Raw genomic sequence first — 13,757 nt, 5'->3', positions numbered from 1 at the left:
TCTCCCTGCATCATTTAAAACAAAAGAGAGTCTCCATTCACGCCCTCCCCACCCTGCCAGGAAACGTATTCCTGGGACCAGCGCTGACCATCCCAAAAGTTGCTATTTCCCTCAGTTGAGGGCGAAGTTAGCAAATCCGTAGCTGCAAGTCTCAACTTGGGGGAGGGGGCGACAGCCAGGGCGTAGGGAGAGCGGCGCGGAGGAGGGACTAGAGGGAAGGACACTGCCCCTTACTCCACCGAGGTCGTCGCCTAAGCCGGAGGAGCCGCCAGTTTGGGCTCGGGGAGGGAGGCGGAGAGGGAGTGGCGGCCGCGGTGGAGCGGCGTGGGCTCCGCACCAGCAGCTCGGTGCCAGGCTCGGTACCTGGCAGGCCGGGCGCGCCTCGCAGGCCGCCCGGGGCGCGGAGGGTGTGAGCGCGCGCGCCCCCTCCGTGCCCGCTCAGCCTCGCGCGCGTCTCGGGGGAGGCTCCGCCGAGAGGCGCCCGGGGAGCCCGCAGCCTCAGTCCTGCCGCCGGCGGAGCTTTGTGCGGCGGCGGCTCCGAGTCCCACCTGCTGGCGGCGGAGAGACAAGGAAGAGGAAGAAGGAGGAGGAGGAGGGGAAAGAGGCGGCGGCGCCAGCCCACTCCTCTCGCCGGCGCCCACTCCCGGGGGCTCCGCAGCCCCCCGCTCTCGGCCTGCACCAGCTCCCCGCCCCCGGCCCGGCCCGGCCTCCCGGCCACACCGCGGCAGCCGCCGCTGCAGCCCCCAGCCTTGCCCGGCGGGGCCCGGCCCGGCCCGGCCCGGCCGCCGCCGCCGCCGCCGCCGCCCGGAGCCGCCGGCGAGTTTGAGGGGAGCGCGGGGCGCGCGGCGCCGCTTCAATGTGCCCGGGAGCCGCCTCGGCGCCCCAGCCCCGCTGAACAGCCCCGGCGCGGCTGCCCTAGAGGACGAGCGAGGAGGCGCGGAGAGCCCCGGAGAAAGAGAGCCAGCGAGAAAGAGCGAGCCCGACAGCGAGCGCAGGGAGCGACACCATGCCCGGCTGGAAGAAGAATATCCCTATCTGCTTGCAGGCAGAGGAGCAGGAGAGAGGTGAGCCAGGCGGCGGGGCCGGGGAGGGAGGGCAGGGGTCCGGGCCGGGGCCGCCCGGTGCCTCCCTCTCCCCGGCTCCCTCCCGACCCGTCCACCCGCCGACGGGGGAGGGGCGCCGCGCCCTCAGGGCCCGCGGGCGAATCCAGGTGGCGTCTTGCGAACTCTGATTCATTTTTTTTGCGGGGGGGGGGGGGGGCGGGATGAGAGGGCAGCGGGAGAGGGGTGGTGCTGCAGCAGGGAACTTTTCGCTTGGGGAAAGATTTTTTCTGGCGAGGATGTAGGGGAAACTCCAGCTTCTGCAGGGCCCGCTCGCACGTGGAGCTCCGAGCGGCCGTCTGTGGGGTGGGTGCTGGGGGGTGATGGTGGGCATGGAGGGGGGTTCCTGCAGTGCTTTAAGTGACTTTTCAAACTTTCCTCCACCTCCCGCGGCCACCCTCGCGTTGTCCCCGCCTCTGGCTGGGCTGCGACGGCATTGCCAACCCAAAGTTGCTGGAGATTCATAAAGAAGGAAGAGGAGAAGGAAGAGCGTAGGGGAGGCAAGGGGGCGCTGCCGCAGGTCTCTAGAAGGGGAGAGGAGGGGAAAGATTGTCCCCTCGATCAGGGTCTGGGGCTGGGAGTGACTGCTTGGAGATGAGTTATGCCCCAGCGCAGTCCCCGCTGTCAGTTTAATACCGCAGGACTGCGGGCTTTTCTTAATTACTGTCTATTTTCTTTGCAAAAGGCGGCTCTCTGCCTGGTGCCTTGCAGCCCTTTTGTGCTTCAGCTTGACAAGTGTGCTGGACACTTTGCTTTTAAGTAACTTGCGGAGAGGAAAGTTGAAGGCCTTTTGCACCTTCAAGGCTTAGTTCTGTTGAGGTCATTTCATGGTGTTTGGATGGTGCAGAGGTTGGCCAGGGAGTTCAGCTTGGTAACCTGGATATGATGTACTGAGTGCACCAGAATTTCCTATACAGGCCCCATGGGGCTAGAGGGATGTGCACGGTGGCTCTGCTAGCATCCAGAGGAACGCTGGCTGGCAAGGTCCACCAGGGTTTATCCCTTTGCTTCTTCTATCCTGTCCTGTCCTGTCTTCGAGGAAGGTGCTTTGGAACCGGATAGGTTTCAGGATGCAGGGGCTCCATGGGCTGTGGGAAACAGCCGGTGCTGAGGTTAAGCGGCGCAGCGTGGGTAGGTGGGCGAGGAAAGCCAGAGGAGGCCGGCCAGTCTGGTGTGTGGAGAAGGCAGTGTTGTCAAGGGGGCTTAATGCAGCAGTTTGGTGAGCTGGTATGGACGGTGGCTTGGTTATTGGGCATGTTAAAAGTTTCAAGCTTTTGAATAACACTTACTACTGAAGAACCAATGTACAATTTCCAGTTTTTCTCTAGGTGGCACAACCTGTCTTTGGTTTGTATCCTGTTTAATGACTCAGGGAATTCATCCCTTTTTAAGCACCTCCTTATTAGATATGTGCATTCATTTTCCAGCACACTTTCTGGCAGGTGACCTTACGTCTACCCATTCAAAAGGCACCCCTGCTTTAGGAATGCTTCTGCTTCTCCCTTTAGTAAATCATATCTTTAAAGTTGCAAATAGCAGTACCAATAATTTATAACCAGGTAAAAGCACTACATGAAAGCATTCTGTCAAGCATGGAGTGACTGTCCTATCAACTAAATGTCACAATGTACTTGGCATTAAATGTATCAGTTTGCTTAAAAAAAAAATCACCATGCTTCCGACAAGTTTTATCAGAATGCTGAAGTGGGTAGATTTTTGGATTGTCACGAAATGTACTTGTATGTCTTTTGGAAATATATGGTAACATTGAAAGATGATTGTCTAATCTGCTTGGTGGAGATAAGACTGAAATTCCTCCAGAGCATAAAAATCTGAGTAAGAAATTGAGTGTTCTGCCTTATCTCCCCCAATAGGAGAAAACAAAAAATGTTTGTTACTTTTTGCCTTTTTTCACTTTAAAGGTTTCTTCTTTCTCACTTTAATTAAGAGATGCTTTTCTAAATAATTAGTATATATTTTTGTTTGGTTGTAGCATTTCTTTTTGAAGTCCTGCTTCTTTTGGAATGGACAAATATATGGTTTTGTTTCTTTCACAATTTCCTGTCTAACTGGTGTTTGTGTTTCAGTTTGTGTGTGTGTGTATATATATATATATATATATATAAATATATATTTAAACTGAGCTGCCTATGTGACTTGTAATGCATATATCAGAGGACATTGCTTGAGCTTGGCTTATCCTTTTGGATGAATTTCAGTGTAAAGAGATGAGAGATGTTTTCTATTTGTATTTCAGGTCAAATTGTGTTAAGCTTTTCCCTTGACCCTTGAAATTCTAAGTGATTCAAATAACGTTGAATTGGATTCTTTTAAATATAAACAAAAAGATTAAACTGTCAGGTTGGTCAGGAAAATAATGAACATGGAACAAATACATTTTAAATTTTGTCTTGGATTAACATTAACCAAAAGGTCAATTTCGAATATCTTACTATTAAATTCTAAGGTTGGTTGTGCTCATCTAAACCACTGCGCTTTCCACATTCCCCACAACCCCAATCTACATGTAAACATTCTAAAACCCATTATGGAGATTACTCTAGCATAACATTTTTTTCATGTAGATTTTATTTAGTAAAATCTCTTCTTGAGATGTAACGCAAATTAATACAAGATGCTAGCTTCTTTGAGGACCGCATATTTGAAGGAGTATGTATCTTAGCCTTATTCCTAAAAAAGAAGAAAAACATGCCAATCTCAATTCAAAGATTGAGGGAACATGCTTTTGTGTTATTGCCGCATACAAAAAGAGGCTTGGTTGTTCTATGTAATTTCATGTCGTATCTACACACCATTCATTACTCGGGTTCATCTCGAAGGCCTGTGTCAAGATGAAGCTATTGCTATGGCATGCAATGCTGAGCAGAGAAACTGTAACATATGGGTTGTTGCAGTAAATGCAGTCACTTCCAAAATGACATGTTAAGACTCACCCATGTACGCTAACATACTATTAAAATTCAGAACACATTTCTCCATCCTACCCACTACCCCTGACTTTCTGCCTGATCTGCTAAACCCAATCCATTTAGAAGCCACTTAATACACTTTGGGGTAAATGTTTTAGGAGAAGAGAAATGTTTCTGAAAACTGTCCTGTTTGATATCTCTTCCAATCAAATTAAATTAAGTAATGTATTCATTGTTTTACATCTGCTTATTAGCTGATCATGTGTAATAAGAAAATAGTTGTTGAGAAAATTCTTAGTATAAAGAGATAGATGCTTCTGTAATTAATGATGCTTTTCTTTTGCCGGTACCATACCTTCTTACTTGTGTGCCTTTGATTAGTAAATGTTTATTGTGTTTAATAATGTGTAGTTAGGATAGAAAATCAACCATAATGCTTGGAAAGATTATCTGTTTCTGCAAACATACTTTTTGGCATTTTTATTATTGAGGAAAAGAGAAAAATATTAATTTGTATTTTCTCATTTCCTTTGCTTTTATATTTAGATTTAACAAATATATATAATCTAATTATATAGGTGTGTTAAGTGCATTTCACATTAGCATATACATTCACCAGGGGAAAACACATGCATTTTTTATAGCACTTCACCCCCTTGCCTTTTTTTCCTCTTACAAGTTTTGGAGGTCTACAAATGAAACTGAGAACTTCTCTTTAGATTTCTGTTTTAGCAATTATTATTTCTTGACAGGGTCTCACTTTGTCACCCAGTCTGGAGTGCAGTGGTGCAATCACTGCACACCGTAGCCTCTACCTCCTGGGCTCAAGAGATCCTTCTGCCTCAGCCTCCTGAGTAGCTGGTACTGCAGACATGTTACCACCATGGCTGGCTAGTTTTTTTTGAATTTTATTTTTTGTGGATATTTGGACCCCTTTAGATATAAATAAAGAGCTTTTATAAAATATCTATGAGAATACTATGCAGCCATAAAAAATGATGAGTTCATGTCCTTTGTAGGGACATGGATGAAATTGGAAATCATCATTCTCAGTAAACTATCGCAAGAACAAAAAACCAAACACCGCATATTCTCACTCATAGGTGGGAATTGAACAATGAGAACACATGGACACAGGAAGGGGAACATCACACTCTGGGGATTGTTGTGGGGTGGGGGGAGGGGGGAGGGATAGCATTGGGAGATATACCTAATGCTAGATGACGAGTTAGTGGGTGCAGCGCACCAGCATGTCACATGTATACATATGTAACTAACCTGCACATTGTGCACATGTACCCTAAAACTTAAAGTATAATAATAATAAAAAAATATCTATGAGAAAGCACAGGGAGCTTAAGGAGTAGACCTTTACTACAAACTTGGCCTGTTTCATTTCCCAAATCACCCATATCGAGGAGATCTGGTGACCCCACCCACAACCTCCTTAACAAAAAGTCCAATGTGGAATTTGACTTTTTCCCAAGGAACAAAGTAGGTAAAAGAGAAGAAAGCAAAGAAATCTAGGGCCTGCTTTGTTTCAGGCACCATGTTAGATGTTTCCCATGCATTATTTGGTACAGTCTTATAACATGCCTGTAAGGTAAGTGTTATTATTCGTCACCCTGTCAGATGGGGAAACTGAGGTTCAGAGAGCTAATGAATTTGCCAGAACTTATAAAGCCAAGACTTAGGGCATTTATTTCTAAAGAGATATTTAAAAAGAAGTCAAGTTACACTTCCTGAGGTGAAGTTTGTAGAATTTTATTAACATTGTAACATCTTTCCCTTTCGGACAAAATTCTAATAAACTGCCATCAAATCTTTCATTAGGAATTCATTAGAGAGTTTGCTTAGTTATGTATACTGGGAAAACACTTCTACAGTATATTTTGGACTTTTGACAAGGCTTTTGCAAGGTAGATGTGTTAATTAACTCTAACAATAAGGATTGGAACCTCAACATATTTTTAAGTTGAATTATTTGACTACATTTTAAGTAACTCATTTAAGTGAATGGGTTTTCCACCAAAGACTTGCCATTATTGCATATTTTTCCTTTTTTTTCAAAGCGTATTTGCCATGAAGGCAAGCATTAACAAGAATTGAATGTTCTTCCTTACTGTGAAAAACTGGGAAATGATTGTATTGTTAACAGCCATTGTATATTTGTCCTTTGCCGACATTTTATTTAATTAAAGCCAAAATCTGAACTCTGGCTACCTAACAGACAGCCCAGTGGTCAAACAAAGAGGCTTCAGTTAATACTTTCTTCTGCAGCAACTGATTGGTTTCGTTCATGAAGAAAAAGAAATTTCAACTGATATTAGTAAAAGAATTTGAGAATTGAATCTTATGGGTTTTAAAACTGTTATATTAAATGCTGCAGATGGCAAACTATTAAAGGCATTTAGGATTTGATTCATTTATTTTCAATTAAATTATAATAGTAGTTAGTAATACAAAATACAAGAATGATAGTAATAAAAAGTAACATGTCTAACAGAACAATTCAAATGCGAAGCCAAATGCTGGGTTTGAATCTCTTGTTTTATCTTTTATTAAAGTTCATTTCTTCTGAAATTGAAAAGATTCTTAAATATAAATATAAAAAATCTACTTATTCAAATTTTCTTATTCAAGAAGCCTACTCATTTAGGTATGTCAGTGGCCAAAGGGTGCTATCAGCTTTATGGGAAAATTAGTGTTCTTCAAGTATATCTGCATATTAAAAGCACCTGATTTAATTTCTTACCACTTTTCATTTCAACAGCGACTAAACTTTAAGCACCAAGTGAGGTGATGAATACAATGTAAAGAAGATATGGTCTGTGTACTAGATAGATTCCTTAAGTGCCAGCACAGTAGTTGATGAGGAGATATTTGAGGTCCAGATGGCATTGGGTTTAAATTCACTCCAGCACTTACTAACTCTAGGGGCTTTTTAACTTTTTAAAGCCCTTGTTTTCTCTACTTTAAGATGAGGACAAGAAATATCTATGTCATGTGAGGATTAAATGAAATTAACAAATATGGAGGAATGTATGATAGTACCTTGCAGATGGTTTGGAGTTCAGTAATGGCAACTACCATTTTAATGGTATGTTTATATAGGTCTGTTAACACCTTAGGATATCCTGATGATGAAACAATCAATCAATAATTTTTATTCTTTAAGAACCTCATAAAACATTTTTAAAAAGTCTAATGTTTTGTGAAAAACTACACTGAAACATAGAACTTGATGCAGCCAAGGTCTTTGATGTATTCTAGCCCAGCTCTCATGAAAACAAAGAATCTAGTGTAGAGAGAGAAATGTGCCCAAGACCACATTTTATACACTTAGCAAATGTTTATTGAGTACCAACTGCCAAAGTGCCATGATGGGATGAGAAAATAATGGTTTCCATTTTAAAGGAGATTATTAAGTATAGTTGTAGAGTCATGGGCTATGACAGATAACTCTAGGACAGCTTCTCTACTCTTGTACAGATTAATGCGGAGGGAGCAGAGAAGAGGGGTTGATTGTGCTGGGGGTGGGTGGGAAGAAAGAAGTTTCTGAAGACAGCTGTCAGAGGAGGTGGCATAGAGGAAGTGTTAAAAGACTTGAAGGAAGGGGAGGAGATTAGAGAGTTGGGAGGGGATAGAAGGAAAGGAATTTCAGGCAAGGAGCATGGTATGTTCCAAAGCATTGTGAAATGAGACATTCTGGGAACCATGACTGGTTTCTTAAAGGGGATGGAGTGTAGAGTATGAACATACTTATGAGCATAGAATATAAATATTCATTTCCCCTATGGGATGAGGAATGGAGCTGGATGGGAGCATTAGACTAGAAAGGGCCAGATTGGAAAGGGCTTCGTATGCCAGGTTAAAGAGTTTGATTGCATCTGGCAGGCGATAAAGAATTGATAGGCTTCCAACAGAGGAGTGTCAGGATCAGATTTTTGTCTTAGAAAGCTCATCTTGGCAGCAGGGAGGAAACATTTGAAAAGGGAGGGACTTGGAAGGGAGTGAAGCAGGTGGGAGGCTACTGCTCTGTTTCAGGCCGTGCAGCTACTCAGGAGATGGACTTGGTGACCAGGTAAATGTCGGAAACATGAAGAGTGTAGATCTCTGGTTCAAGTACTGATTAGAATCAGAATTGTATATTGAGACCCAGTATCTTGATACAGAGCCTGGTGTTTTTTCTATCACATATTGCCTTTTTTATTGCCTCACTCCACCGGTCAATGTAGGGGAAAAAGTAAACATAATGTGGTAGAATAATATAAAAATAAGGAACCACCAAAGTGATGGACTACCAGACTGTGCCATGATGATAGCTTATTGTACAATAGCTTTCTTCTTTTATTTATATACAATTTATATTACCTATTCTTAAAGGAAAAATAATTATTCTGTACATTTATCTCCTAAAACTAATTTAGAATTTTACATGAGTTTTTAAGCTGAAAGAGAGGGAATGGTTGTACTGTATTTATTTTTTAGATTTATCTTCCCTGGTAATGCAATTGGGTAGGGTTTTAAGTTTATTATTTTCTGAAAACAACTAAGTACTCTGTGAATAAAGTTTTAATATACTTCTTGTACTATACTCAAAATCAGAAAGCTGGAGTTTAAGTCTTCTGTCTCTTAGCCATTTTCCCTGGCTATTTGGCCTAGGTATAGACCGACCATCTTGACTGTGGCTTTCTCATCTGTAAAGTAAGGATGATTCTTGGCATACTGACCTTTGGGGTTTATACTTAGAGGTGAAAGCTATTAATGTAACGTTACTATATCACAAAGGCCAGAAATTGTGAAAGACAGAGGGTCTTCAGGTACATTTGCCTATTAGCAGGCCATCTCTGGATGGAGGCATTATTTGGATAACTTGTGTTTCATAAATTGGAAATTTTTATTAAAAAATTTCAATCCGTAGTCTTCCAAAATGAAGTTCAAACATGAGGTTCCCCTTTGGACTCCCATTTGTAACAAAATAACTCAAGTAATGCAACAAAGTTACAATGCATACAATGTTGCAGTTATCCAAGGCAGCCTCATTTCTGGCTGCAGCTGGAAAAGTCCAGCTCAAATACTGAGTGGGCTCTGCCACTCCCTGGTGTTACTTATCTGCTTCTTTCAGTCCAGGCTTCTGACAACCCAATATCCAAAAGATCATTATTCTCAATTAAAATGATGTTTGGAACCTTTTGAAGGGAGAAAAAATTCTTGCAGCTCTCCACTGCCAACACATTTTTTTTTTTTTTTTTTTTTGAGACGGAGTTTCGTTCTTGTTGCCCAGGCTGGAGTGCAATGGTGCGGTTCCCGGCTCACTGCAACCTCCACCTCCTGGGTTCAAGAAGTTCTCCTGCCTCAGCCTCCTCAGTAGCTGGGATTACGGGTGTGCACCACCACACCTGACTAATTTTTTTGTATTTTTAATACAGATGGGGTTTCACCATGTTGTCCAGGCTGGTCTCGAACTCCTGACCTCAGGTGATCTGCCTGCCTTGGCTTCCCAAAGTGCTGGGATTACAGATGTGAGCCACTACACCCGGCCAACATCATTTGTTTTTATTATACTACTTAAATATGTACTAACATATAACTACATGTAAACTGCTGATGCTTATAGCTCTCGTACAACCACAAAGCCAAAACAGATTTTACAAAAGAAAAACAAAACTACCCCCAAAATCAGTTATATGCAAATTAACAACATTGATTTCATATGATTTGATATTATTTGCCTGAAACTAAATTCCCTCTTGCAGTGTGAATATGGTACTTGCTGCTGTGGAAAGTAATAACACCACTTTTTTCTAGTCAAACTCTTAGGGAATCTTGGTTTGACAGTCTGATATCACTTTGTCTTTCCTAGGCATGAACACATCATTTACATGGGAAGTCCTCTCTTCTTATTGGTCTATTATAAACCATTTTGATCTTAAATACAAAACCCAGTATTAGCACTGAAAGTGGTGGCGGTATTAGGTTACATGCAGATCTACATTTGTTCTTCTTACACTCTTTGTAATGAAGAGCTGTTTTTTTTCCTGTCACAGGCATGGGGTTCCATAGCACCATGCTCAGGGTGAAACTCACTACCTAAGTTTGACTGCATCTGTTCTTGTCCTCTTCAATGAGATAAACTCGCTAGTCACAGACTTGGATGTGGCAATGTGAAATTGCTATAGTATTTCTAAACACCCACTCTCATTTTCAGTACTTATGTAACCTTGGGCAGGTAATAAACAGTTTCTTGACTGGCATGGTCCATAGAGCACATTTTGAATAGTACTGGTTTAGAGTATACTTATATAGCTGGGGTTGGAGATAATGGTTCAGAAGGATGGGCGTGTGTGTATGTGTGCCTACAAATTTACACACTACTTTTAAGATATACAAGTGAAACATAATTTGTTTCCCATAACTGCTTTTACCTTGCCTTCAAGTTTCCATTCCCACTGAAAAGGAAAAAATTAGATCTTGTCAATTAAGAACACATTAGTCTCTAGTTTAAAAAATCATTTTGGGTTCTCTAATTTCTCAAGGGTTTTCCCTTCCTTTGCTCCCAAGATGACATTTGAGCAAAGGGGAAAGGTTAGTATTCTTATTGCCCTGGGTGAAGGGCATTTCATTCATTGTGTGACCCTCACTGTGTCTACTGCTCTGGACTTGGCACATTTGGTGGCTGGGCGTTGTGCCCTGGTATCCACTGAAATGAGACTTTTCCTATTTGATCTTTGAATGTCATCTTGGCAGCTCATTTGGACTTCCTGGACCTCACCATTGTGTCTAGTTGTGAGATCCTTGTGGTTTGTGACCTTCTACCGAGGCCTTTTCTAGGTACTTGTCCTATCAGCATTTCTGTATCTCTCCTGGCAGCCAGAGAGTGCTTAACTGTTTTCTCTGAATCATGATGGAGTTTGTGGGATCTTGGGAGGTGTGCTCAGTTCCACCTGTCTTAGTCACCTTCTGCAGATATTACCACTCTATGGTCCAATGCCATGTTGAATGTGGCATGTGCCACATAGGGGGCCTTCATGCTAGGTGATAAGGGTCATTGGCCACAATGTTCTCTAAATCCCTCAAAGATACACAGATGTTAGTTCTTCTTTCCTTTTGTACTCGTCAAGGAGTTTTGAATCCTTGAAGAGTATCAGACACTTACATCTGATTTTTTGCTCCTCCTTTCCTTTTTTCTCTTTCTTTGCTGTTCCCTATCTGAAGTGGTTTAAGTTTCTTGAAAACTTAAAACTGTAAAGGGCAGGGATAAGGAGGGTGACTGTATGATAAAGGGGAAAACAAGAATCCTATTCCTTTGCCAGGTGGACTCTTCTTATGTTTTGAACATCAGCAAAGAAAGAAATAGAAATGGTTAAACAGCTTAGAGATGACATCGCTCGAGGCTGACAAGTAGTTTTGAACAGCACCTTCTACTAGTCTTCCTTGCACATAAACTTTTCTCACTTAATAGTTTTACTAGAAATCTGCCCTTTGTATTTTATCGGCAAACGTATGAACACAAGAACCGACATATTTCTTCTCATAGTCAGTAGTGTAATTGCAGTGTGAATTTACTGTTAGGTGTTGATGTGTTGTTAAGGTGTACTTTGTATTTTGAATAAAGATGTTTAGAATAGATCACTACATGTACTCAAGACTTCTTGTGTGAATTTATGTTAGAATTAATAAGTCTTTTCCTTTTACTGTTGAAGTGTTTCTTTTTCACTTTCATTTATTGTCTGAATATAGACAATTGAAAATCTGATACACAATTTGACATCACAAATTACTAGGATTTATGTCTTTTTAAGGCACAGTTCATCATTTGAGAAAGGTACTGAATGTAGTTTTCACCTATTGGTACATTAAAAAAGCAATGATGATAAAACAGTAGAGAATAACACAGTAATGTGATAGGTATTTATTTGTTTATTCTGGTATATAATCTGTGAATGGTTTCCTTCCGTCATATCTTCTGATGTCTGATATTTATATCTACTATTACTGATACTCACAAATTCCATTGTAAACCACTGAGAGGAATATACTAATATCCTCATGAAATCAAACTTTGATAGTTGTAAGGATTTTCACATTGTCCTCTTCGTGTCAGGATTGTTGATTTAAAAAAGTGGCATTTAGAATTGCATTTTACAGATGAATTCAAGTGTTTCTTTTTACACGTATAATTTTCTGGTATGTGCAGAGCACATTTTCGTTAAATGAAAACCTTGAACAAGGCAATATAAGTTTAGTTTCTTTGTTACCATTTCACATTTTCTCCCTGTAATTTTAGTTATGAAAATGAAAATTTGCCAGGCTAGAATCAGACACCTGTAGTGCTGCATCTGCTGAGAAAGCGCCTCATCTGGCTTTGTTAGTGAGCCTGAATGCTGATATACATATAAGATACTTGCCACCAAAGGGTAGCCCTGTTTTGTTGTTGTTGTTGTTGTTATTGCTCACAGTAATATAAAATTATGATAATAGCATTGGCTCTATACTCAATAACTGCATTTACTCAGACCCTTACCCTCCCAGACCCTAATGATCATACTGGAAAAAGAAGGAAGGGCAGTGTATTAGTCTTCCCAGGTTTCCACAGTAAAGCACTATATGCTTAAACAACAGGAGTTTTTTTTTTTTTTTTTTTACGTTCTTGGAGGGTAGAAATTCATTATCAAGGTGCCAGGTTCCTGGAGGGCTTTACCTTTGGGTTGCAGATGACTGTCTTCTTGCTGTGTGCTCACATGGCCTTTTCTTGGTAGGTGTAGTGCAGAGAGAGCGGGGAGGGGAGTGAAAGCTCTCTGGTGTCTCTTCTTATAAGGACACTAATCCTGTCAGATCAGGGCACACCCTTATGACTTCATTTAGCCCTCATTACTTCCTTAGAGACCTTTAATCTCCAAATGCAACCACACAGGGGGTTAGGGATTCAATGTATGAATTTGGGGGCCACATAAACATTCAGTCCGGCCAGGCACGGTGGCTCACGCCTGTAATTCCAGCACCTAGGGAGGCCGAGGTGGGCATATCACTTGAGGTCAGGAGTTCAAAAGAAACCAGCCTGACCAACAATGGTGAAACCCTGTCTCTACTAAACATATAAAAATTAGCCAGGCGTGGTGTTGGGCACCTGTAATACCAGCTACTTGGGAGATTGAGGCAGGAGAATCGCTTGAACCCGGGAGGCGGAGGTTGCAGTGAGCCGAGAACATGCCATTGCACCCCAGCCTTGGTGACAGTGTGAGACTCCATCTCAAACAAACAAACAAACAAAACAAAACAAAACAAAACCATTCAGTCCATAACAGGAAGATTATTCAGTGGCATATGTAATGCTCTTACAAGTTTCATCTCTCAGTGTTTAGAAATTGATCCTTTTGAACAGATGATGATGGGCTGGTTTTAAAATATGGCTTTCAAAATTTTGGGGGAGAGTTTTCCCCTTGAGTGTCTATGTCTCCTCCATTTGAACTGGGCAGGCTTGTGGCTGATTAACAGGTAGAAAATGCTGGAGGTGACACTGTATGACTTCTGAGGCTGGTATGCAAAAGTCAAAGCAGCTTCCCCCTTGCTAGCTGGAACACTTGTTCCTGGAATCCTGAGCTACCATACTTTCAACTACACTGAAGCCACAATGCTGTGAGGAAGCCAGTTCACATGGAGAGGACATGTGTAGGTGCTCTGGTTGACAGTCCTGGTCTTCCAGTTTTCCTAGCCCAGGCACCAG

The 13,757-nt window shown here is 42.2% G+C and overlaps 1 protein-coding gene across 7 annotated transcripts in view, besides 3 other annotated features; it reads left to right on the top strand.

Annotated features, from left to right (window-relative positions):
- Nucleotides 366-425: a silencer, noted in NCBI's record as "silent region_4639". NCBI's record gives its function as "represses an Ori minimal core promoter by ATAC-STARR-seq in GM12878 lymphoblastoid cells {active_cell/tissue: GM12878}" and the evidence as "EXISTENCE:reporter gene assay evidence [ECO:0000049][PMID:35858748]".
- The window catches only part of GRIP1 (glutamate receptor interacting protein 1), a 721,908-nt gene continuing 708,926 nt past the window's right edge, over nucleotides 776-13,757 (top strand). For all 7 annotated transcript variants that reach the window (XM_047428622.1, XM_005268757.5, NM_001379351.1 and 4 more), the window contains exon 1: nucleotides 776-1,064. In XM_047428622.1, coding sequence (XP_047284578.1) covers nucleotides 1,007-1,064 — 58 coding nt within the window. In that variant the 5' untranslated portion in view covers nucleotides 776-1,006. The remainder of the gene's footprint in view (nucleotides 1,065-13,757) is intronic.
- Nucleotides 1,723-2,227: an enhancer, noted in NCBI's record as "H3K4me1 hESC enhancer chr12:67461667-67462171 (GRCh37/hg19 assembly coordinates)". NCBI's record gives its function as "activates a minimal SCP1, AML or CMV promoter by ChIP-STARR-seq in primed H9 embryonic stem cells {active_cell/tissue: H9 hESC(primed)}" and the evidence as "EXISTENCE:reporter gene assay evidence [ECO:0000049][PMID:30033119]".
- Nucleotides 2,228-2,734: an enhancer, noted in NCBI's record as "H3K4me1 hESC enhancer chr12:67461160-67461666 (GRCh37/hg19 assembly coordinates)". NCBI's record gives its function as "activates a minimal SCP1, AML or CMV promoter by ChIP-STARR-seq in naive and primed H9 embryonic stem cells {active_cell/tissue: H9 hESC(naive and primed)}" and the evidence as "EXISTENCE:reporter gene assay evidence [ECO:0000049][PMID:30033119]".

The sequence above is a fragment of the Homo sapiens genome, chromosome 12, assembly GCF_000001405.40.
Source record: "Homo sapiens chromosome 12, GRCh38.p14 Primary Assembly".
Lineage (NCBI taxonomy): Eukaryota > Metazoa > Chordata > Mammalia > Primates > Hominidae > Homo > Homo sapiens.
This window is presented reverse-complemented; position numbering and strand designations above follow the sequence as displayed.